At 41.2% G+C, this 26,654-nt stretch overlaps 1 protein-coding gene across 3 annotated transcripts in view, besides 2 other annotated features; it reads right to left on the minus strand.

Moving 5' to 3' along the window:
• Window positions 1-26,595, minus strand: part of TRPM6 (transient receptor potential cation channel subfamily M member 6) — a 165,427-nt gene extending 138,832 nt beyond the window's left edge. The window contains exon 1 of one of the 3 annotated variants that reach the window (NM_017662.5): window positions 26,498-26,595. In NM_017662.5, coding sequence (NP_060132.3) covers window positions 26,498-26,530 — 33 coding nt within the window. In that variant the 5' untranslated portion in view covers window positions 26,531-26,595. Of the gene's footprint in view, window positions 1-25,904; window positions 26,022-26,304; window positions 26,395-26,497 lie in introns of those variants that run through there. The other 2 variants (NM_001177310.2, NM_001177311.2) reach the window with 2 other exon arrangements.
• Window positions 14,255-14,756: an enhancer, noted in NCBI's record as "NANOG hESC enhancer chr9:77490497-77490998 (GRCh37/hg19 assembly coordinates)". NCBI's record gives its function as "activates a minimal SCP1, AML or CMV promoter by ChIP-STARR-seq in primed H9 embryonic stem cells {active_cell/tissue: H9 hESC(primed)}" and the evidence as "EXISTENCE:reporter gene assay evidence [ECO:0000049][PMID:30033119]".
• Window positions 25,687-25,981: an enhancer, noted in NCBI's record as "tiled region #214; HepG2 Activating DNase unmatched - State 4:PromP". NCBI's record gives its function as "activates a minimal TATA promoter and a strong SV40 promoter by Sharpr-MPRA in HepG2 cells {active_cell/tissue: HepG2}" and the evidence as "EXISTENCE:reporter gene assay evidence [ECO:0000049][PMID:27701403]".

Consider the following 26,654-nt stretch of genomic DNA (forward strand, 5'->3'; position numbering starts at 1 on the left):
TAGAATAAAAAGGAGGAAACAGATAAGAAACTGATATCATTAAACTTTATGTGCACCAATTAACTATTTTTTTAATTTTTTGTATTTTTCATGCCTCTGGGACAAGTTCAAGGCCAATTAACTATTAAAAACAGATGCTAAAAGGGTATCTAATGTAGAAGCCTGTATAGACAAAATAGGCAAGCTGTGCTCAACCATTCACTTCTTTCAAAATGCTGAATGGCAGCTTTGTAGTAGGACTACCTGAACAAATTATTCGATTTCTTCATGCCTGTTTGTCTATCAAAATGGGGATAATAATAGTACCTCATAGAACTATTGAAAGGATTAGATAAAGGTTTAGAATTCTTCCTGGGACTTATTAAGTCTGAATAAAGCTCAGGTATTATTACTAGCAATATTAAAAGTAAAAACTGGCTTTGGGTTAATGGTCTGGGAACTTAACTTTGATGTATTTTTTTTTTCATAGAATAATGCCTCCTGACCTCCAAATTTCCCTCACAGTTCCTCTCATACTATGATTTAATGACCTTTACAGGCTCACATCTTCCCTGGACTCCAACTCCTATAGGCCCCATGCCAGTCATTTCTATTGCCCCAGGGCCTAACCCAATGATTGTTGAATGAGCAACAAACATGCTGAAAATAGAACTTCAGGAACCCATGTATACTATTTTCCCTCCAAAGGTGTAAACAGGAAGCCCGTGTCATAACAAGAATGTGGAAACTTTCCTCCTTCAACTCCGGTTATCTTATCTCAAAACTACCAGAAAAAAAAAAAAAAAAAAAAAGCAGCCTTTAGCTTGAAAATGTTTCAAATAATTCTCAATTTAGAACTTTACTTCCCACCCTGCCAACCTCGTAATAGTTCCTTTGCAATATACTCTCCAGCACACTTCCGAGAGGCCTCCATGTTCAGTTCAACAGAGAACCAAATGTTTGTTGGTTCTGATAGGACAAACACCAAGTGTGCTAGCTTCTGCCACTAGAGCAGCAAATTTGTTGTGGTCGTGGTAGTTGAGAGTAAGGATTTTGACATTTCTGCAGCTATCATGGCAGTCTTCATCGACTGGATGTTTTTTGCTTTTTAATTGTTGTAATTTAGGGGAGGGAAAGGCAAAGGAGAAAGAAGGGAAATGGTGTGTTGGTCTCAATTTGTGTCATCCTAAAACATAATCAGATTTTATATCTAATCTTTGGCCTGAGGTCAGGCTGGGGAATTGCAAAGAAATGTTCACAGACTAACATAGTGAGATACCTTGGGGAGGGATCCAAGTCTGAATGTGAAATTCATTTATGTTTCATATACATCTTATATGCACAGACAAAAGGTAATTTTACACAATATTTTTTAAAAATTTATACATAAAATTGTCCGGGTGTGGTGGCTCACGCCTGTAATCCCGGCACTTTGGGAGGCCAAGGCGAGCAAGTCACTTGAGGTCAGGAGTTCGAGACCAGCCTGGACAACATGGCAAAACCCCATCTCTACTAAAGATACAAAAATTAGCTGACGTGGTGTCGGGCGCCTATAGTCCCAGTTACTCAGGAGGCTGAGGCATGAGAATCACTTGAACCCAGGAGGCAGAGGTTGCAGTGAGCCGAGATCATGCCACTGCACTCCAGCCTGGGTGACAGAACAGGACTCTGTCTCTAAATAAATAAATAAATAGTTTTATGCATGAAACAAAGTTTTTTTGTTTTGTTTTGTTTTTTGTTTGGTTTTGTTTTGTTTTTTTGAGACGGAGTTTCTCTCGTTGCCCAGACTGGAGTGCAATGGCACGATCTCGGCTCACTGCAACCTCTGCCTCCCAGGTTCAAGTGATTCTCCTGCCTCAGTCTCCCAAGTAGCTGGGATTACAGGTTCCTGCCACCACATCGAGCTAATTTTTGTATTTTTAGTAGAGATGGGGTTTCACCATGTTGGCCAGGCTGGTCTCAAACTCCTGACCTCAAGTGATCCACCCGCCTCGGCCTCCCAAAGTGCTAGGATTACAGGCGTGAGCCACTGTGCATGACTGAAACAAAGTTTTAACTGCATTTCAACTGCCACCTGCCACATGAAGTCAGATGTGAAATTTCCCGCTTATGGCACTCAAAAAGTTTCAGATTTTAGAGCATTTCACATTTCAGATTTTCAGAGTAGGGATGTTCAAACTGTATTTCCACTTTATGGCTTTTTAGGGTTCCCAGATAAATTATCTTGGGGTACTCTCTGAGAAGGCATAATTTCACAGATGTTCCTTAATCTTCAAAAAAGTGACTTTTTTTTTGAGACGGAGTCTCGCTCTGTCTCCCAGGCTGGAGTGCAATGGCGCGATCTCGGCTCACTGCGAGCTCCGCCTCCCGGGTTTTACGCCATTCTCCTGCCTCAGCCTCCTGAGTAGCTGGGACTACAGGCATGCACCACCTACGCCCGGCTAATTTTTTTTTGTATTTTTGGTAGAGATGGGGTTTCACCGTGTTAGCCAGGGTGGTCTCGAACTCCTGACCTTGTTATCCGCCCAACTCGGCCTCCCAAAGTGCTGGGATTACAGGCATGAGCCACCGCGCCCGGCAACCTTTTTTTTTTTAAAAAAACATCCACAAGTTTGCATGATTGGAGGTAAAGGGAGACAAAGATAACAGGTCATTTGTTTTCTTTCTACAACTTTTTTGCACCTTAAAAAAAATCTATCATCTAACAACTACTTCTTCAGTGGAACTGATAACTGACTCCGATTTTGATTTCCTGCATTCTCTCTTACACACATCACAGCACTAACAATGTTTACTTGCATTCACTGGACCATCTCTCTCTCTCTCTTAACCTTATTGTAATCCACTTCAAAAGAGAGCATTATTTTATTTATCTTGGAATTCACAACACTAGAATGGGTCAAATAGACAATATTTTCAGACTCCAGATCAACATTTGTTATTTTTTCTTCAGAGTGCCTCCCTTGAAGCAAGAATCCCTTCAAAGTGCCAGGTAGATGGACATCAGGATGTACCATCAATCAATCTGTTGGCTCAGGGAATCCATCAGTGCAAAGCCAGCCCATCCACTTTCAAGTGTCAGCTCAGGGCCTTCTATCTGTCCAAATTCTGCAAGGATACCTACCTGACACTTGATCCGAGAGGGGCAGTCTCAGAAAAACAGCATCCAGGCTAAAAATATCTAAAAACCAAGTTCCTGTTCCACCAACACTACCAGAAAGTGTGTTGACTGATTTTCCACTAAATAGTCTGTCCAGGAGGCAGAGAACACAAAGTAACCTTACACCTTCATCTCACTTTGGTGGTAAAAGGTGAGCACTATTTAGCTGGTAGTAATTTATTTTTGGTAACATCTCTAAAAATTGAATGTCAACTAAATAATTCACAATTCCCTAAAACGCCATTTCTCCTGAGTAGTTGAGAAATTTTACTAACATTTTCACATAGTGCTTTGCTAAGCAAAGGCATTTAGAACCTTGGAATGAGGCCTGGTGCAGTGGCTCATGCCTGAATCCCTGTACTTTGGGAGGCTGAGGTGGGTGGATCACCTGAGGTCAGGAGTTCGAGACCAGCCTGGCCAACATGATGAAACCCTGTCTCTACTAAAAATACAAAAAATTAGCCACGCGCAGTCGTGGGCGCCTGTAATCCCAGCTACTCAGGAGGCTGAGGCAAGAGAATCGCTTGAACCCAGGAGGTGGAAGTTGCAGTGGGCTGAGATCGTGCCACTGCACTCCAGCCTGGGCAATGAGAGAGAAATTCCCTCTCAAAAAAAAAAAAAAAATGGAACGTCAGAATGAATTTCTAGATTATATAAACTCAAGAGTTAAGGAGTAAAACATTTATAAATCTTCCTGGAGCCAAATAGGGGATTAGAGGAACTCAACAGTAACCTTCCAAGTAAAGTGCATCAGAAAGGTGAAAAGTGAAGTGATATCATACCCCTTCCTTCCTCTTTCCAAATTGGTTGAAGCCCTCATTATTTCAGCCCCAAAACCCAATTTCAAAATAGCAGCGAAAGACATCCTTTTCCTCAGTTGTCACTCACGCTTCAGGGTTTAACCAGTCTCCTGGGGAATAAAACATGCAAATGAAACATTTATAATTTCAGATCTTGTTAAATCATTCTGATAAAAAGGGAAGAGGAAATGGAAGTCTCCTTTATGAGTGTACTTTACAACTGTCCCTCGATAGTAAAATACAGAGATTTAACCAAATGCTGGGCCTATTTGTAGTACAACCACTCTAATCTGGTTAGATTTTCCACCTACATGCACTCAATTCTCTCCAATTTCCAAGCTCCAAAATGCTCACAAATTTGTTATCTATGTACACAGATGGTCTTCATTTATGCTCCAAATATCTTGTTAAATTATCCAAAACTTTACTAGTACTACATGCAAATAAACTACATGACCTAAAATAAAGTCTTTTTTGGAGTGGCTCATGAAACTATGCTTTTATTTTTGTTTTAATACAGAGTCTTGCTATGTTGCCCAGGCTGAAGTGCAGTGGCTATTCACAGGCGTGATCACAGCACACTGTGGCCTTGAACTCCTAGGATCAAGTGATATTCCTGCCTCAGCCCCCTGAGAATCTGGGACTACAGATATGTACCACCATGACTGGGGAAAATATACTGTTAAATAATTGACTTTTAGGAAACTTACCAACCTCTCAGACAATAAAGCCTTTATTAGAAGTTACATGTTTGGCCAGGCATGGTGGCTCACGCCTAGAATCCCAGCACTTTGGGAGGCCATGGCTAGAGAATCATTGAGCCCAGGAGATCAAGGCCAGCCTGGGCAACATATCGAGACCCCGTGTCTACGTCCAATAATATAAAAAATAGAAACATTTTTAAAAAGAAGTTACAGGTTAAATTTTATTTATGACATTCATAGTAAGGTTTATATAGACAATGGAGATTATTTGTCTTATTTTTTTCAGTATAGCACAGCACAAAGAAGACACAACTGGATTTTGCTCCTTAAAATTTGGGGGACACTCATACCACGTGTGTAACTTAGACAAATTCAAAAGCTTTGCTAAAAGAATGAGAGAAGGCTAGAAGGTGAAAAATAAGACAGAGAGAAAAACAGTTTTAATAGTGTGGGCAGTTTCACTGTCATTCCACTATCAGTAGGTTTGATTTTTTTGGGGGGGTTTTTTGTTTTTTGTTTTTTTGTTTTTGAGACAGAGTTTCACTCTTGTTGCCCAGGCTAGAGTGCAATGGCGTGATCTCGGCTCACTGCAACCTCAACCTCCCAGATTCAAGCGATTCTCCTGCCTCAGCCTCTTGAGTAGCTGGGATTACAGGCATGCCCCACCACACCCGGCTAATTTTGTATTTTCAGTAGAGACAGGGTTTTACCATGTTGGCCAGGCTGGTCTTGAACTCCTGACCTCAGGTGATACACCCACCTCAGTCTCCCAAAGTGCAGGGATTACAGGCGTGAGCCACCGCATCCAGCCTCAGGAGTATCTTATTTCCAAAAGCAGCAGTTCTGAAACTTCTTGAGCTTAGGATCCTTTCATAATCATAAAAACTACCAAGTACTCCAAAAAGTATTTTGTTTATTTAAATTATGTCTACCAATATTTACCACATATGAAATTAAAACTGAGACATTTAAAAATATTTACTTATTAGTTCATTTTAACCTGTTACATGCTAACACAAAAATTTTCCAAAAAAGTTCATAAACAGAGCACTGTCTTATGTTTTTGCAAATCTCTTTCATGTCTGGCTAAAGATGGCTAAATTCTCATGTTTGCTTCTGCACTCAATCCTTTGCAATAAGTGGTTTTGCTTGAAGTATACAAAGAAAATCTGCCTCACAGAGACATGTAGTTGAAAAGGGAGAGTATTTTAATGGCCTTTTTAGATCATTGTGTATTCATCATGTACCCTTGGGAAAACTCCACTGTACACTCATGAGAAAATATGTCAAAAGGGCAAATAGCATCTTAGTACCATTATGAAAATAATTTTGACTCTGAGGACCCTCTGAAAAGGTCTTAGAGACCTCTAGGAGTCCTTGGACCACATACAGAGAACTACTGCACACAAGTGACTGTGTGTAGACACTAGAGTGGAGTCTGTGAGAGCAAGAATATACCATTCCCCAGATGGTCTCAGTTCCCACATGCATATCTTAGTCTGCATACCTCATCTTAATGAGTAGATTCTAGATCCCCTGTTTAATCTGGTACTCAACTGAAGAAAGTTCCAACACAAGATAAAATCTTCATGTACTGTATTTTATGCTCAATGAAAGGGACTTTTCAAGGGTAGTTTGGAATGCATTCAATTTCTAAACTTACAGCCAACTTTAATGCCTACCACACCCACCCTCCAGAAGATGTCGTTAAATTCAGTGACCTTGGGAAGCTTGCGAAGTGTGGAACCAGCCCTTTACAATCCATAGGCAGGATACATCCTATCAGTTTATCCACCTCTTTTAAAACATTGAAACCTCGAAAGGAAGAAACAAATGAAAAGAAAAATTGATACCTCTAAGAATAATAGGTTTATTCATTCATTTAAAAAAAAATACTTTGATGGCCAGACGCAGTGGCTCACGCCTGTAATCCCAGCACTTTGGGAGGCCGATGCACAGGGTCACGTGAGGTCAGGAGTTCCAGACCAGCCTGGCCAACATGGCGAAACCCCAACTCTATTAAAAACAAAAAAAATTAGCTGGGCATGGTGGCACAGGCCTGTAATCCCAGCTACTCAGGAGGCTGAGGCAGGAGAATCACTTGAATCCGGGAGACAGAGGTTGCAGTAGGCTGAGATTGCACCCCTGTACTCCAGCCTGACAGAGCGAGACTCCGCAAAAAAAAAAAAAACTTTGACACCTCATGTTATTCTAATTAAAATAAATAAAACAAAAAAGTGTCCCGCCGGGTGTGGTGGCTCACGCCTGTAATCCCAACACTTAGGGAGGCCGAGGCAGGTGGATCACCTGAGGTCAGGAGTTTGAGACCAGCCTGGCCAACATGATGAAACCCCATCTCTACTGAAAATACAAAAATTAGCTGGGCATGGTGGTGCATGCCTGTAATCCCAGCTACTCGGGAGGCTGAGGCAGGAGAATCATTTGAACCCAGGAGGTGGAGGTTGCAGTGAGCTGAGATCATGCCACTGCACTCCAGCCTGGTCGACAGAGCGAGACTCCATCTCAAAAAATAAAATAAAATAAAATAAAATAAAAAGTGTCCCAAATGCCACCAGCAAATGAGAAGCACTTATGTTAACAAATGGATACTAAGTAAGGAAGTGGGTCATAAATGTTACAATCGTAGGCAACAGGACACTAGTGAAGGAGAAATTCCTTCTGCCTGTAGATACTTGAGATGTTTTCATGGAAGACATGGAATTTATGAAAGTTCTTGAAAGACAACAAAGGTTTTAAAAGGTGGCGAGGGTGTCCATGGTGGTTAGAAACGTGGAGATTTCAGCCTAGAGGAAAATTTAGAAGAGGTTCACTTTAAGGTGATGACAAAAGCCATGAGGTCACTGAAGGACAGATAATAGAGACGATCAAAGGGTCAAGAACTTTCAGAAACATCTAAACAAGGATGCAGAAGAAAGAGTTTGGGGGATAGAGAATAGAGACTTACTAGCCAGGATGGTGGTTTGATACCTGAATTAGGGAAGGGAGACAGTTTCTCAGTTTAGTAAAATGTTTGCATCATTATCAAAGTAGAAAATTTCAAAGAAAAACTGATAAGACATACTTAATACTAAAAAGAAGATAAGAAGAATGGCAATTTTGTCCACGATGAACAAATCAATTTCAAGAGATTCAGGAAAAAGGTTGTAAAACAGAGGAGATAGGTAGTTAGTGTAAGATTCTCTTGGGAGAAGCAATACTAAAAACAACAGTCAGGGCCGGCCTGTAATCCCAGCACTTTGGGAGGCCGAGGCAGGCAGATCACAAGGTCAGGAGATCGAGACCATCCTGACTAACATGGTGAAACCCCGTCACTACTAAAAATACAAAAAATTAGCCAGGCATGGTGGCACGCACCTGTAGTCCCAGCTACTCGGGAAGCTGAGGCAGGAGAATCACTTGAACCCAGGAGGCGGAGGTAACGCCACTGCACTCCAGCCTGGGCAACAGAGCGAGACTCCATCTCAAAAAAAAAAAAAAAAGAAACTGTCATAAATGGACGATATAAAGCAAAAGCCAACACTAAAGTAGTCTGTCGTATCTGCCAAAGGCTGGGAGGGCTAAATGTCTTAGGTGCTTTAGCTAAAGCAATATTCACAATTCTGTGGCTCATCACAGTACTATTTATTCCCTCTTCACCGAGAAGGAGCAGGTTCTAATGCTAGTGCCAGAGATCTTTTACATGACATTTTATAGGCACAGTTTATTTTATGTTGAGAAAACAGGACTTTGTAGACTAAGGGAGAAGTCAACAAAAAGAGAGAGAATGAAGATGCAATGAGCGAATGGAAATGACTGTAGAGATCTCGGAGAGCGGTGGGGAGGGAAGGAAGGAAGGAAATGGTATGGACAGCTGAAGAGGAAGGCTCTGCCTTGAAGTAATCTTATATCTCTGATAGATATCAGAAAGAATGACAAATTTTCCTTCTTGGTAAATTTGCCCAAGACCTTATTATCCATGTTCTATAGAAACTGATAGCCTGTTTAGCTCTGGAGGTTGCCAACTTCAGCATTTATTTTTGCCCCTCTTACCCAGAGAGAAAGGATGGTAGGAAACACCCATGTGCATTCACAGACCCCCTTTTTATTACCCACACTTCCCAGTATAGCAGCACAGTATAGGACATTTCCCAAAGTAGGTTCTACGGATCACAAAGCATATGAAATCCTCTCTCACCAAAGTATCTGCTAAATTTAAAATAGTTGAAAAAATAATGAATTCAATTAAATACCTAGGATACACCTACAGTATCTCATTGGATGCCCCATGGGGAATATAATATTCCTGAAACACAGCATTGCAGGAATTTCCCTAATAAGCTAATAACCTAAAAACATGTACCTTTGAATACGTGGGTCTGCAGACATCTACACTAAGGGAATAGGAGTTTGGGATAAAGGATAAGAGTAAATGTAACTGGGGATCATGGGCATTCAATAAATCATGTCAAGCTATAATGAAAGGAAAAAAGAAAGGGAGGAAAAACAAGATAACACTGTTTTCTTCTGTAGCCTGTAGGTAATCTCTACCAGCAAACTAGAGAAATCTTGTTCTCCCTGGGTGAGTGACCCCAGGAATTGTTAATTTCCAGCTGTCCAGCTATAAAGTTTCATGAACATTCCTTTAGCTGCACTTAGAAATAGGCACTCCACGGGCTGGGCGCAGTGGCTCACGCCTGTAATCCCTGCACTTTGGGAGGCCGAGGTGGGTGGATCACCTGAGGTCAGGAGTTCAAGACAAGCCTGGCCAACATGGTGAAACCCCATCTCTACTAAAAATACAAAAATTAGCTGGGTGTGGTGGTGTGTGCCTGTAATCCCAGCTACTCAGGAGGCTGAGGCAGGAGACTTGCTTGAATTCGGGAGGCTTGAATTTGGGAGGTTGCAGTGAGCCAAGATAGTGCCACGGCACTCCAGCCTAGGTGACAGAGAGATACTCCGTCTCAAAAAAAAAGAAAAGAAAAGAAAAAGAAAAGAAAAGAAATAGGCATTCCACTTCTATTTTTAAAAAATAATAATAATTACAATAGCTTCAAGTAAACCCTCTATAACTGTGTGCCTAAATTGCCACATAGCAAAAAACAACCAAAACAGATAGTTACAATGTTATAACTGTGACAAAGCTGCACTTAGTTCTTATCTAAGTCCTCACTGTATCATCCATGGGATATGCTAAACCAGCTCCTGGCAATTTTTTTCTAATAGATAATATTGCAAATGGTATAAAATCCGGGAAGTACATCAGGTGATACAGGGAAAAGTTAAATTTCCCTCCCACCCCTGTTCCCCAGCCATCCAGTTTCCCTCTCAAAAGTTAACCTCTATTACAGTTTGTTGTGCATTCCTCTAAAGATAGTCAATGTGTTTACAGGTATATCCCCCAAAAAATTCTTACATAGATATAGGCAAATTATACATGCTGTTCTGCACCTTGTTTTTTTTCTGATTAATAATGATATGTAATAACCTTATATATAGAATTGCTTCATTTTATGAGGCTGACCAGTATTCCCTAATATGGAAGTCCCATAATTGACTTAGCTAAGCACCTGGTCATGTATATATATGTTATTTTTCATCTTACACAACATACATACAGCATAGCTTTCATGTTCATGTAGATCTTCAGAATATACACCTGCAAGTAAAATTTCTAAGTCAACTCAGATTTCCACATTCCCCTCCATAGAGAGGTACCAATTTATAAGCACAATAGATGACTTACGAGCAACTTTTTTTTTGAGAGGGGGTCTCACTATATTGCCCAGGTTGGCCTTGAACTCTTGGGCTCAAGCAGTCCTCCCACCCTCACCTCCCGAGTATCTAGGATTACAAGCATGTGCGACCATACCCAACTCAGTAGTAACTTTTTTTTTTTTTTTTGAGACAGAGTTTTGCTCTTTTGCCCAGACTGGAGTGAAGTGGCACAATCTCGGCTCACTGCAACCTCTGCCTCCTGGGTTCCAGCAATTCTCCTGCCTCAGCCTCCTGAGTAGCTGGGATTACTGGTGTGTGCCACCATGCCCAGCTAATTTTTGTATTTTTAGTAGAGACAGAGTTTCACTATGTTGGCCAGGCTGGTCTCAAACTCCTGACCTCAAGTGATCCACCTGCCCCGGCCTCCTAAAGTGCTAGGATTACAGGTGTCAGCCACCATGCCTGGCTGCAACTTTTTAAAAATAGTGACAGGGTCTTGTTATGTTGGCCAGGGTAGCCTTGAACTCCTGGCCTCAAGCAATCATCCTGCCTTGTCCTCCCAAAGTGCTGGAATTACAGGCATGAGCCACCACACTCAGCCAACAGTAGCAATTTTTAAGCATTAAGGAATACACTGAGATGGGATCTTGCTTTGTTGGCCAGGCTGGTCTCAAACCCCTGGCCTCAAGCAATCCTCCCACTGCAGCCTCCCAAGTAGCTGGGGTTGCAGGCATGAGCTGCCATGCCTGTGAGCTCTTTTTGAGACAGGGTTTCTCATTCCTGTGCCCAAGCTGGAGTGCAGTGGCACAATCTTGGCTTACTGCAACCTCCGCCTCGCAATGCTCAAGCAATTCTCCTGCCTTATCCTCCCAAGTAGCTGGGACCACAGGTGCACACCACCGCGCCCAGCAAATTTTGTGTGTGTGTGTGTGTGTGTGTGCATGCGCGCACGTGTGTACATGTTTTGTAGAGACAGGGTTTCCCTGTCTTGGCCAGGCTGATTTCAAACTCCTGACCTCAAGTGATCTGCCAGCCTCAGCCTCTCAAAGTGCTGGAATTACAGGCGTGAGCCACTGCGCGGAACCTGATTCTATCTCTTAAACATCTCTTGTATCTGCCTACCTCTCTGCATCTATATTGCCACTGCCCTAGTTAAAGTCACCATAAACTTTTGCCTACATTGCCTCCCAGGCCTTTCTACCTCTAATTTTCTCTTCAATCCATTCTCTATAATAAAGCTTATAATCTTTTAAAATAAATAAAGTGAACAAGTCATTATCACATAAAACCTTCCAAGGGCTCGTCATTATTCTCAAGATAAAGTTGTAAAGTTCTTCACACGCTTTACAGAGCATTGCCTGCCACATCTTGGGTGCTCCAGCTCCTACCTGATCTCTTGCCCCTCCCTGCCTCCATCTCTACATTCTAAATATACTGAGCCATTTTGAACTGTCTGAATTCACCTACAGGTATTCTCTACACACTGTTCTCTCCACCTAGAATACTCTCCACTCCCTTCCTTTCTCCGCCAACTTAGACATCATGCCTCCTAGAAAACTTCTGGAAACTCTCAAGTCTGAATGAGGACCTCCTTCCCCATGCTCTCTCAGCCTGAGCCTTCTGTGCTTATCCCCTGCACTGTACTATCATGACCTAGTTAGACCCACTGTACTCTATGTCTCCAAAGACAGGGAACTGTCTGAAGTACAGCCTGAAGAAGATACTGTATTTCATGGAAGAAAAACAAAATGTGCTTTCCTGGGCAGCACATATACTAAAATTGGAAAGGAAAATGTTTTGTGGCTGTATAAGCACATACGAGAATTATGATTGTCCAGAAGGGAAACACTGTCTGTTTCCCAAAATATATTTGATCAAGGATTTTCTCTGAGGATATTACAGACTTGTTTCCACAGGATGCAATTTCGGGAGACTCTTTTCTAAGAGATTTCCAACAATTATCAATTAAGAATATCCCCTCCCCTAAATCATTTACCTTAAGATTCTTATTTTAATCTTTGAGGGACTCATCTTAAATTATAAAGATTTTTTATCTTAACATTTAGAATTTTTAACTTTTTAACAGAAAAAAATCTTTTAATTTAAAAGATCTTAAAAATCTTTGAGACTTTTATTGTAACTTAAAGATTTAGGGTAGGGTACAGACAAGTTTTTTATTCAGAAAAAAAAAACCCTCACATTCAAAATAACTGATTCCCCTAAAATTTTTAGGAGGAAAAAGATGTTTTAATAGAATTAGGGCAGTCCAGGCTGGGCATGGTGGCTCACAACTGTAATGCTAGCACGTTGGGAGGCTGAGGCAGGCAGATCACCTGAGGTCAGGGGTTCAAGACCAGCCTGGACAACATGGAGAAACCCTGCCTCTACTAAAAATACAAAAATTAGCCGGGCATGGTGGTACATGCCTGTAATTCCAGCTACTCAGAAGGCAGAGTGAGAAGAATCACTTGAACCTAGGAGGCAGAGATTGCCATTAGCTGAGATTGTGCCACTGCACTCCAGCCTGGGTGACAGAGTGAGAATCTGTCTTAAAAACAAAAAAAAAAAAAAAACAAGAATTAGAGTTGTCCAGGAAATTGAGACTCAGAAGTCTGTCAGTGGGATACCAAGAATCTTATGAGTTAACAGAGGTTGACAGATAGGACACTATCATCTGCTAGGCTGAAATTTCCCAACTTCTCTTTCTTGCTGGAACACATGATATTAAAAGTTCCAGCGTTGTTGTTTAGAGACTGCCTGTACTTTCAGTGCAATTCAGGAAGGAAAGGAGAGCACAGTTACCCATATAATGCCTTTCTTTAAGTCACTGAGGACCGCAACTCCAGAACAGGTTTCCATTTTCACTGGGTTTTGATGCTGAAGATGCTTCTTCAGTATTTAATTTCTTCTGATATTGTAAAGTGAGAAGAAATATATTTTATCCATAGAAAGAGACTTTGAAATGACCCAAAAAGGCAATCATAAAAGAGGGATTAAACAAAAGCAAAGCAGTTTTTCTTTTTCTTTTTTTTTAAGAATGTGTCACTCAAATGCTCATAACATTTTGTAATTGTATTTTTTTTTTTTTTGAGACAATGTCTCACTGTGTCACCCAGGCCAGAGTGTAGTGGTGCAATCTTAGCTCACTGCAACCTCCACCTCCCGAGTTCAAGTGATTCTCCTGCCTCAGCCTCCACAGTAGCTGGGATTACAGGCATGCACCACCATGCCCAGCTAATTTTTTTTTTTTTTGCTACTTTTAGTAGAGACAAGTTTCGCCATATTGGCCAGGCTGGTCTCAAACTCCTGACCTCAGGTGATCTGCCCACCTCAGCCTCCCAAAATGCTGGGATTACAGGCATAAGCCACCATGCCTGGCCTGTAATTGTATTATAAGAAGGAATATTTTATCTTAGCCTCTTCCAGTTGCAAACCCAGGCCACTAAATAAGTAAATAATTTTTAAAACCACCATCATCATCTGCAGGTCAGACAACAAAACTGATAAAACACTGGAATTCAGAGATGTTGGCCTGCACCTTACAGCAACTCTTCCCTTCCATTAAACTTGAAGGAGGGCTGGGTGTGGTGACTCACGCCTGTAATCCCAGCAGTTTGGGAGACCGAGGTGGGTGGATCACCTCAGGTCAGGAGTTCGAGACCAGCCTGGCCAACAAGGTAAAACCCTGTCTCTACTAAAAATACAAAAATTAGCCAGACGTGGTGGCGCACGCCTATAGTTACAACTACTCAGGAGGCTGAGGCAGGAGAATTGCTCAAACCTGGGAAGTGGAGGTTGCAGTGAGCCAAGATCGTGCCACTGCACTCCAGCCTGGGCGACAGAGCTTGACTCTACCTCAAAAAATTAAAAATAATAATAATAATAATAAAGATGCAGTCTATAAAGCCTTATGTCAATTCATTATTCCCTCCTAGTTTGCCTTTCTTAAGGCTGTCCTAAAAATGATAGTTAATTTTAGAAAGATTTTAAAATTTGAGGACTTTGGACCCCATTCTCTCTACTTGCTTGACCTTGGGGTGAAAGAGCAAAAACTGCCTATTTGGAAGGTTGTTTCTCTGGGCCAGATAAGGACAAAGGCTAAAATACGTTTTCTTTTGTTTTAAAATCCCTCTAAAGCAGACACTAACAGTGGTGACAAAGGTTAGAAAGGATTAACTTAAACAGGCCAAGGATCTGTAAAGTACCCTGTAAACTTAAGCTTATCTAAGAAGATAATTCTCTTTCCTGAGAAGATTACAAGATTCAATTTGCAGAAACTTCTTGGCCCTTTCAAAGATCAATAGAAGATATCTACATTCCCCAAGAAAAGAAAGATGTTTTCATATTCAAAGGTCAACCTGGTCTGTCATATAATATTAACTGCAGGGTAACAATTTATTTATTTACTTATTTTTGGAGATGGATTTTCGCTCTTGTCGCCCAGGCTGGAATGCAATGGCATGATCACAGCTCACTGCAACCTCCACCTCTCAGGTTCAAGCAATTCTCTTGCCTCAGCTTCCCAAGTAGTTGGAATTACAGGCATGCGCCACCATGCCTGGTCAAATTTCATATTTTTAGTAGAGACGGGGTTTCATCATGCTGGTCAGGCTGGTCTCAAACTCCTGACCTCACGTGATCCACCCACCTCAGCCTCCCAAGTGCTGGGATTACAGGTGTGAGCCACCGCACCCAGCCAGGGTAACAATTTATTCAGCACTTTCTGTGTGCCCACCTGGACAATGCAAAACATTTTGTTTATTAACTCACTTAAATTGCTCAAGAGTACCTGGGTGCAGTTATTAAACTCATTTTATGAAAGAGGATACTGAATCTTAGAGAGGCTGAGTAATTTCCCTAAGGAACACAACAGCTCATAAAAGTGACACTAGGATTCATATACAGGCAGTCTGACTTGAGTTCATTCCCTTAGCAACTTCACTTTACTATCGCTTACCCACAACACTTGTGCTTATACCAATCCCTGAAGCACTATAGTGTTTTAGGGCTGGCCAGTCACTTTCCTGAATATCTGATCATCACACAAATCTGGTACATAATAATTATGGGTGAGACTAACTATATAAAACGCCCTGAAAAACATCTGCCACATAGCATGTGAGAAGCCTCAGGCCTTTACAGATACTGGGAGGGTCATGAACCCTTAGAAACTGTATACTAACTTTTGTGTGGATGTGCACATTTTCCGGAAGAAAATCTGAAGCACTGGATCAAAAATAAGTGCCACACAAAGGATCTAAATAGTTCTCCAAAGAACAAATGTCGAATAAACCCATGAAAAGATGCTCAAAATCATTAGTCATAAGGGAAATGCAAAACCATGCAGTCTTCATACCCGCTAGGATGGCTATAATCAAAAAGTCAGACAATACAAAAAATAGGGAGAAACTGGAATTATCATGGATTGCTGGTGATTATGTAAAATAATACAGTTGCTTTGAAACAAATTCTGGCACTTCCTCAAAAGGACAAACACAAGAGTTATCATATGACCCAGAAATTCCACTCCTAGGTATCGCCCCAAAAGAAATGAAAACACATGTCTATACAAAAACTTGTATACAAATGTTCATACCAGCATAATTCATAATTGTCAAAAAGTAGAAACAACACAAATATCCATCAACTGATTAATGGACAAATAATATACAATGCAGCCACAGGAAAAAAGCACCTGGACTCCAGTGGGCCCTGAGACTAACAGGGAGCTGCCTGGAGACCATGTGATGGCATTGCTCCAGGGAGGGAGCTCACACTGAGTTCCACGCACACTATGAATTCTAAGCAGCTACAGCAAGGTGCCATTTTTAGAGTCCAGCCACCACCAGACTGCATCCTATCCTGGGACCCAACAGCCCCACATCTCCATATCCCTGGAGTCCCATTGATATCCCCTGCCCACAGCCCACCTCCACTGTTTGCTGCTGCCTACAGGGCCAAACCATGAGCCATTGGCAGTGACCCCACCATGCTCCATATTGGGGTCACCACACATTTAAAAATGCCCTGAGGAAAGGCAGCCTCATTTAAAGCCACCAGCTGGAGCCAAGCTAGCTTTCCCCTGCTGCCTGTTTACAGCTTCTGCCACTGAAACAACTCTGCCCTCCCCAGCAGCAGGGCCACAATGCAGCCGCTGCCACTCCAACTCAGGCATTCCACCAGGGGCCTGGGGATCACCTCACCCCTCCTACCACAGCCAGTGGCTACATGCACCATGAGGGGCCTGAGGAGAAGCCCACCCTGTCCAACTCCATCCCACCCAGTGCTGGAGCACACCATCCAGGGGCCTAGGGATCACCTGCCCCACCCACCACAGTTGGCACCTGAGCTCTCCTCCCAGAAACCTGAGAATGGGCTCACCCAACCTGCCACCAACACCACAGCTGGCACCCACACGCACACCACCTGCAGGCCTGGGGACTGACCCACCTAGTCCATCACAGTCAATTTCAACACCAGCATGGATCACTTGGGAACCAGAGGATTGTCTCACCACTGCTACTGTCATCATTCACACCACACCCACTGTCCAGGGGCTCAAGGACACACCTGCCTGCCCTTCCCACCATTGCCACTGACAGCACCCAAGAAAGTCACCTGCAGGCCCAAGAATCAGCTCACCTGGCCCTACTAACACCAGTGTCAGCATATGCCACCCAAGGGCCCAAAGACTGGCACATTCAGCTCACTGCTATCACCACTAGGGCCCAAGGACTGGCCCATCTTATGTCCCCATCCCCAGCAAAACCTCACCAAAGCCTCCACTAACAATCACACCTGAAGCCACTGAGCAAATCTCAGACACTACTGACACTGTTTATAGCTGAAGAAATCATAACGAGACTATACTACTGCACACACCCAGAATCAAAGCCAAAGTGCCCTACCTAAACACCGCCACATAAACGTCTTCAGAATACAATCCCCCCCGTGCAAGCAAATTCAAAAGATTGGAAGAAGCAATGGTTATGCCACATGCACAGATATCAATGTAAGGACACGAGAAACATGAAAAAGCAAGGAAATATGATACCTCCAAAGGAACATAATAATTCTCCAGCAATAGATTTCAATGAAGAAATTCATAAAACCCAGGAAAAAGAAATCAAACTAATGACATTAAAGAAGCTCAGCCAGGTGTGGTGGCTCATTCCTGTAATCTTAGTTACTTGAGAAGCTGATGCAGGAGGACCACTCAACCTCAGGAGTTCAGGAGTTCAATCTGCCATTGAGCTATGATTGTACCACTGGAATCCAGCCTTGGCAACAGAGTGAAACCTCATCTCAAAAAAAATTTCTTTTTAATTTTAAAAAAGTTTTATTTAAAAAGCTCAGTGAGATACAAGAGAACTTGAAAATACAATACAAAGAAATCAGAAAATTCAGGATACAAATGAAAAATTGACAAAAGACATAAATATCATTAAAAAAGAACCAAAAGAAATTCTAGAATTAAAGAATTCTCTGAATGAAATACAAAATATATTAGAAAGCTTCAACAATAGACTCAATCAAGCAGAAAGAATATGAGCACCTGAAAACAAGTGTGATGAAATAACCCAGTCAATGTGGTGTAATGATTTAAATACATATATTTGTATATGATTTATATATATATGATTTATATACATATATACATATATATATAACAAGGAACCATTTTATATATATAAAGGAACCATGGATATATATAGGGTTTTACCCATGGTTCCTTGTTAATAACTCCCATATCCTTTCTTTGAGTCTTTTGTTATAATGTCAGGTGTGTTAGGCCTCAGGGGAAGTTCTGAGGAAACAGAATTTGTCTCCTGCCTTTCTTATACCTGGCCCAATGCAGGATTCTAATCTTTCTGCTCCTTTCTGATTGTGGGCCTTAAGTCCCTTCCCAGAGAGGGTCCCACCCTATACCCTGGGAGAAGAAATTTTGACATCATGAAGCTTCCATAAAAATCCAAGAGGACCAGGTTTGGTGAGTTCCTGGATAGCTGAACACATAGAGGTTCCTGAAGGGTGATATGCCCAGGGAGGCATGGAAGCTGTGCAACCCTTCCCCCATACCTAGCCCTGTGCATCTCTTCATCTATATCCTTTGTAGTATCCTTTATAATTAACCAGCAAATGTGTTTCCCTAAGTTCTGTGAGCCGCCCCAGCAAAATTAATGAAATCCAAAGAGGAGGTCATGGGAACCCCAACTTGAAGCCAGTCAGTTAGAAGTTCCATCTGAAGGAGGCAGATGTAGTCTTGGGGAATGAGTCCCCAACTTGTGTGATCTGGCACTATCTTCAGGTAGATAGTGTCAGAACTGAATTGGAAGACACCTACCTGGCATCCGCTGCTTGATGTGATGGGAAAACTCCCACACACATATTTGTCACAGGAGTCCTCTGTGCTGATTGTTGTGGTGTAAAAGTAGAGGAGAAATGAGGATTTTTCCTGACACAGACAAAAATAAAGAAAAAATAATCTAAAGAATAAAGTCTATGTGACATATGAGGCACCATAAAGAAGCCAAATATTCAAAATTTTGGTGCTCTGGAAGGTGAAGAGAAAACAAAAGGAACAGAAAACCTATTTAATGAAATAATAACTGAAAACCTCCCAGGTCTAGCAAGAGATGTAGACGTCCGGAAACAGGAAGCTCAGAGATTGCCAGAAAGATACAATTCAAAAAGATCTTTTCCAGAGCACATTATAGTCAAACTGAAAGAATTCTAAATTCTAAAAACAGCAAAAGAAAAATGTCCAGTGATTTATACAGGAACCTCCATCAGACTAACAGCAAATTTCTCAATAGAAACTTTACAAGCCAGGAGAGAATGCAATGATATATTCAAAATACCGAAAAAAAAAGCACTGCCATCCAAGGATACTATTCCTAGCAATGTTATCCTTCATAAATAAATGAGAAGTGAAGTCTTTCCCAGATAAGCAAAAGCTGAAGAAATTCATCACCATTAAACCAGTCCTATAAGAAATGTTTCAGCAAGTCCTGCACATAGAAGCAAAAAGACAGTATCTACCATCATGAAAATACACGAAAGTATAAAACCCACTAATAGGACAAACACACAAATAAGGAAGTAAAAGTGCTTAAATGTTACCACTACAGAATACCACCAAACCACAATGATAAACAATAAGAGAGAAAGAAAAGAACCAAGGATATACAAAACAACGAGACATCAATTAATAAAATGGCAAGAATAAGTGCTCCCAGATCAATAATAACCGTGAAACTAAATGGATTAAATTTTCTACTTAACACATATAGATTGGCTGAATGGATTGGAAAAAAACAATGACCCTGGCTGGGCGTGGTAGCTTGCACCTGTAATCCTAGCACTTTGGGAGGCCCAAATGGGAGGATCACTTGAGGCCAGGAGTTCAAGACCAGCCTGGTCAACGTAGCGAGATCCCATCTCTACAAAAAAATTTTTTTAATTGAAAAAAAAGACCCAACTATATGCTACCTGTAAGAAACTCATCTCACCTATAAAGACAGATATAGACTGAAAGTAAAGGAATGGAAAAAGATATTCCACGCAAACAGAAACCAAACGCAAGCATAAATAACTATACTTATATCAGATGAAACAAACTTTAAGTAAAAAAAAAGTTAAAAGAGACAAAAAATGTAATTATATAATTATAATTATATAAGGCAATCAATTCAGCAAGAAAGTATAACAATTCTAAACATATATGCACCTAACAAAGCATGCACCCCAATATATAAAGCAAATATTATTCGATCAAACAGAACAAATAGACTCCAATACAGTAACGGTTGGGGACTTCAACACCCCACTCTCAGCATTACACAGATTATCTAAACAGAAAATTAAAATAATATTTAAATTGTACTTTAGACCAAATGGACCTAATAAATATTGACAGAACATCTCATCCAACAGTTCCAGAATACACATTTTTATCAGCATGTGGAACATTCTCCAGAATAGACTATATGGTAAAACACAAAACACATCTCAACTAATTTTTAAAAATCAAAATCATATCATGTATCTTCTCAGACCACAAGATAAAGTAAAACTAGAAATCAATAATAAGAGGAACTTTGGAAACTGTACAAAAGTATTCTTATAGCTATAGTAACCAAAACAGCATGCTATTGGTATAAAAAGACACATAGACCATTGAACAAAATAGAGAACACAGAAGTAATTCCACATTTTTACAGCTAACTGAATTTTGACAAAGGCATCAAGAACATACATTGGTTACAGGACATCATCTTCAATAAATCATGCTGGGAAAACTGGATATTTATATGCAGCAGAATGAAACTGAACTCCTATCTCTCACCATATACAAAAATCAACTCAAGATGCATTAAAGACATAAATGCAAGACTTCAACTATAAAGATACTAGAAGAAAATATAACGGAAACACTTCAGGACATTGATCTAAGCAAAGATTTTGCAGCTAAGACCTCATAAGCACAGACAACAAAAACAAAAGTACACAACTGATTCAGTGCTTCTTGGTTGGTTAAAAAGAAAAAAGAGAAACAAAAATACACAAATGAGACCATGTTAAACTAAAAAGTTTCTGCACAGTGAAGGAAACAATCAACAAAATGAAGAGACAATCTGTTGAGTTGGAGAAAATATCTGCAAACTATTTATTTGACAGGGGACTAATATCCAGAATATTAAAAGAACTCAAACAACTCAACAGTAAACACAAAACAAATAAGCCCACTGAAGAGTGGGCAAAGGACATGAATCAACGTTTCTCAAACGAATACATACAAACAGCCAACATGCATATGAAAATATGCTCAACATCACTAATCAGCAGTAAAATGCAAATCAAAACCACAATGAGATATCATCTCGCTCCAGTTAAAATGGTTATCATAAAGAAGACAAAAATTAACAAATACTGGCAAGGATGCAGAGAAAGGAGACCCTCATACACTGTTGATAGGAATGTAATTTAGTACAGCCGTTATGGAAAACAGTAATGGAGGTTCCTCCAAAAACTAAAAATGGAATTACCATTCAATCCTGCATTCCCACTACTGAGTATTCATCCAGCTGAAAGCAGATTCAACCACCTATTCAAAGTATAAGACAAAGCCCACTACAAAGGAGTCTGTGTGAGAATCTCTTTTTCCATTTTTGTTTTAATTGTGGTAAAATATATAATGTAAAATTTACCATCCTAACCATTTTTAAGTGTGTAGCTCAGTTTTGCTAAGTATATTCACATTGTTGTGCGGCCAATCTCCAGAACTTTTTCATCTCGAAAAACTGAAACTCTATACCCATTAAACAACTAAACATTTCCCCTCCCCTAGCCCTGCCAACCATAATTCCACTTTTTGTTTGTATGAATTTGATTTCTATAGATGCCTCATAAGTGGAATCATACAGTATTTATCTTTTTGTGACTGGTTTATTTTACTTAGCATTATGTCCTCAAGGTTCATCCATGTTGTAGCATGTGTCAGAATTTCCCTCCATTTTAAGGCTGAATAATATTCCCTTGTGTATATATGCCATATTTTGTTTATCCATCCAGAAAATCTATTTCTATGTCAGTGGTATTGTTCTGTTGGTCTGGTGGCACAACAGGTATTTAGCTCAATTTTTAATGATTGTGATTTTATACCAAGAGAAAAAGAGATGTGATTGTATATTTGCACTCTAGGAAAGGAAAACCAAATTAAAGCTGAAACTGAGCTCAGTTTCATCGAGAAGCATCTCACTATCCCTTTCTATCTCAAAAATAAAAGTTTTATTCACTGTATATTCCCAGATTCTGGAAGACAGTTTGGCACATAACACTCGGTCAGTATTTGTGACTGATTGTGAAGAGAAAATGCTATACCTATGATCTTGATCACTCCAGTTCATCTGAACATACTATTCAAGAAGGCACTAATGTGTATTGACATGGAAAAATCTACAGGAACTACTGTTAAGTGAAACAAGTTACAGATCAATATATACAATATGATTCAATTTATTTAAAAACACATGCAAAGCCAGGCACGGTGTCATGTGCCTGTAATCCCAGATACTTGAGAGGTTGAGGTAAGAGGATCCTTTGAGCTCAGGAGTTCAAGACTAGCGTGGGCAACATAGTAAGATTCCATCTCAATAAAATAAAATTAAATTAAAATAAATAGATCGGGTGCAGTGGCTCATGCCTGTAATCCCAGCACTTTGGAAGGCCGAGGTGGGTGGATCACCTGAGGTCGGGAGTTCGAGACCATCCTGACCAACATGGAGAAACCCTGTCTCTACTAAAAGTACAAAATTAGCTGGGCATGGTGGCACATGCCTGTAATCCCAGCTACTTGGGAGGCTGAGGCAGGAGAATCGCTTGAACCTGGGACGCAGAGGTTGTGGTGAGCCAAGATTGTGCCATTGCACTCCAGCCTGGGCAACAAGAGCAAAACTCCATCTCAAAAAATAAAGTAAATAAATAAATAAATGCACAAATCAAAATAATAAATACATATGTATGGCCAGGCACAGTGGCTCACACCTATAATCCCAGCACTCTGGGAGGCTGAGGTGGGCAGATCACGAGGTCAAGAAATCAAGACCATCCTGCATAACAGGTGAAACCCCGTCTCGACTAAAAATACAAAAAATGAGCCGGGCGTGGTGGCGGGTGCCTGTAGTCCCAGCTACTCGGGAGGCTGAGGCAGGAGAATGGTGTGAACCCAGCAGGCGGAGCTTGCACTGAGCTGAGATCGTGCCACTGCACTCCAGCCTGGGAGACAGAGCGAGACTCTGTCTCAAAAATAAATACATATATACATACATACATACATACATACATACATACATACATACGTATATAAAAGCACATCTAAATAATATGCTCCAAATCAACAGTTTGATTACCTCTGGGTCAGAGGGGGAGTAGTTGAGGGGTAGAAAGGGAACTTTCTATTTGGATTTCTATTTGTAGTATTTGAATTATTTACAACAAGAAATTATTTTTATATTGTTAGTGACAAAGTTTTTAAGGGAAAAACATCTGGAGAATTATTTTCTGTGATACACAATCAAGGAAAAAAACATATTCAATTCTGTTTACCTTACATGTACCTTTTCTTAGAAAGCTACTGGAGAATGTGCTCCATCAAAATGATAGAAGAAATCAAAAAAGACTAAGGTGTGGGATATAGGAAACAGGAGCCAGCATAACAGAGATGCAAAGTGAATCAGTCCCCAAATGATGGTGAAGAGAGAGCCCAAGGTAATAGCTGTGCATCAAACATCAAGAGCAACCAGTCTGGACTGGCAAAGCAGGTAAGAAAGCTGTGATAGAAATAAAATTGATTCAAATAGCTGTTGCATTGGACATCTTGAGGGAAGATTTAGACAACTAACAAAGAACTTGTGGTTAAATTGGTGAAAACTTTGCAAACACAGAGAGACAACTCTGGAAAAAAACAAGGAAGAAAGCTTTTAATAGCATGTAGGGAGGCATAATAATGTTGACCTAACTAAATATTGACCTAACCAAAAATTATGAGATAACTATATTCAGAGGATCTATGGAAGGAATAGGTAGGATGCATGTAAGTGGTAGTGGCAGGAAAACAGAAAAGAGTTAAATCCACACATTTCTTGCAGGAAAGTCAATGCATGATGACTAAACCTCAAAAACCAAGAAGGAGCAATTATAAGGAATATCTAGAGATACAGACAAATAGTAACTAGTTAAAAGAGATGAACATGATTACTTCTCTTAAAAAGCAGGAAGTGATGGAGGGTTCTACTGTTTTTAGATATTAACCCTATGGAATTAATTGATTCTGAACAATGAGAACGTAAAACTTCAATAAAACTAAGAAGTAAAGAAAAAAGGCACTAGTGAGACTCACATCATAATATCTTACCTAACAGTGATGGATTTTACAGAAAATAGTTGCCATGTAGACTTCTGATGTGTCACAAAGGAATAACTGAGTTATAGGTAGGATGGTCACTTTCAGTTCCAGCATGGTATTGATTCTACCAGAAGTATAATGAAAATCACTCAGATTATTTGGGCTGTTTATACTGAAAACTCATGATTTAAAACACAGTGAGGCCAGGCACAGTGGCTCAGGCCTGTAATCTTGGCACTTTGGGAGGCCAAAGAGGATTGCTTGAGCCCAGGAGTTCAAGACCAGTCTGGGCAACACAGCGAGACTCTGTCTCAAAAAAATAAAATAAAATAAAAAGTGAGAAATTTGAAAAAGAAGGAAAAAGAGAGAAGCCATATTTCAGGCACAGTATTTACCAAATGCTTGATAGTTTTGGCATAGATGTCCTATCCAAAAAATTAACTATGATAGATAATTGTAAATAGGCAAGATAAGACCAAAATTTGTGACAAATTGCAACATATTGCACGATTCTTTCCCTTCACCTCTGGTATAATGATCTCAAATGCTATTCATGCCCTTGTCTATCAAGACAAGTTTAACACTACCAAAGGGTACTAGTCTCCAGTTTTGGCCCAAAAAACAAAACTCATGCTAACTCCTACCCTAGATGGTTACCACTCCTGGTGGGAAACATAAGAAACAACCAGATTCTTAAAGTCAAGCCCAGATTCCAGTCTGGCCAAAATAGCTAACGCTTTATCAGTCCTGTAAGAACCCAAAGCAGATGACAGTGAAACATCAAAATCTGTATACAGGGGGAAAGAAATTGAATAACTCGTTTCCCACTTTAACAATTAAAGGTGATCATTTCTCCCTAGAACAAATAATCACAAATGATGTGTATGACTAGAACATCTATGTTCTCAGTGTCTTTTTTTCTCTTTTTTTTTTTTCTTTTTTATGTTCTCCGTGTCTTAAAGCACTGACCTGAGTTCAAATCTCAAATCTGCTTTTCTCCTTTGGTTTCATTTTCCTCACCTGTAAACCGGTGGAGATGGGAGAGACAGGATACTTGGACTTTATAGGATTACTGCCAGGATGAAATAGTTAAGAATCCCAAACTCTTACAACCTGCTAAATACGTCAGGCATTATTCTAAGTGCAAATGGCATGTAGCATTTCAATTCATCTTGAAACTACAAATCGTATTATCCCATTTTCCAGATGAGAAAGCCGAAGAACAGATGTTAACTCGCCCAAAATCACAGGTAGTGATGCAGCTGGGATGCTAATTCAGGCTACCTGGCTCCAGAGCATATGTTCTTATCAGAGCAGGCTGAAATGAGCTAACGTTTGCTAAGCTGCCTGGACTATTCCTGAAATACAATGTGCTCAATTATACTTATTTTTCATACACAGTGTGAGAAAGTCCAGACAAAATAGGCGAGACCAAGAAATTACCAGGATCTCCACTACTCTCCCAAGCGTCTCCAGTGCTCTCCCAACAGCCAGGAGCACCCTCCCTCTCCAAGCCCCCAGAACTTCCTGTTGCGCCATATGCCAGCGGTGGAGAGGAGCCAGCGGGGACTCCTGAGGTTGCAAGTCCGGGCGGCGCCGCGTTGGGGAAGGAAGCGGACTGCGGCGGGGCGGGTGTTTACCGTAACCGGCGCTGTCATCGCTCCGGGACTCCTGCACGGGGAACACTGGGCGCACGGGGACGCGCAGGGGCGCGGAGGGACGGCCGTCTGGGCACTTCTCCAGCCGCCTCGGAAAGCCGCGACCCCCGGCTAGTCAGCGTCCGGGTCTGAGATCTGTGCCCGTGGCAGCTCAAAACGCGCCTTCTCTCCTCCGGATTCTCAGCTCAAGCCACCTCCGAACTCCTCTCCCTCCGGCCCGGAGCGGAATCAGAGCTGCCTCCTCTCCCGGGGTGTTTCCCACCGCCCCGAGCTGAACCCCCGACCCCCGCTAGGTTTCCGCTCTGACACCACCTCCGCTATGGCCGCATCCCAGCTCTTGAAACGGGGGCTGCGGGACCTGCCCTGTAGTAGCGTACACTACCTTAGATAGGATAATCATCTTTGGGTGGAGACCAGAGAACTTGAAAGCCGGTATTTCATAAATCCTAGCTATTCTAGATCCTCGTTAGATGTAGTGTCCCTGGCCCCACCCACTTCTATCTAAGGCCGGGGGCGCAGATCTAGCGAATCGCCTAAGGTCCTTGTTCCCCGCCAGTCGAGCAGCCTGAGCTTACCTGCAAGCGCTCCAAGACAGGTTGTTCTTTCATCTTTGATTTGCAGGCCCTGCTCCCAAAGCCCTGTCTGAGCTTTTAACTGTGGAGGCAGAAACTCTGGGCTCCACCTCCACACGCTGCCTTTTACAGCCCAGTGGATCTGTCACAATACCTTTCG

This window comes from Homo sapiens, chromosome 9 (genome assembly GCF_000001405.40).
Source record: "Homo sapiens chromosome 9, GRCh38.p14 Primary Assembly".
Classification (NCBI taxonomy): Eukaryota; Metazoa; Chordata; class Mammalia; order Primates; family Hominidae; genus Homo; species Homo sapiens.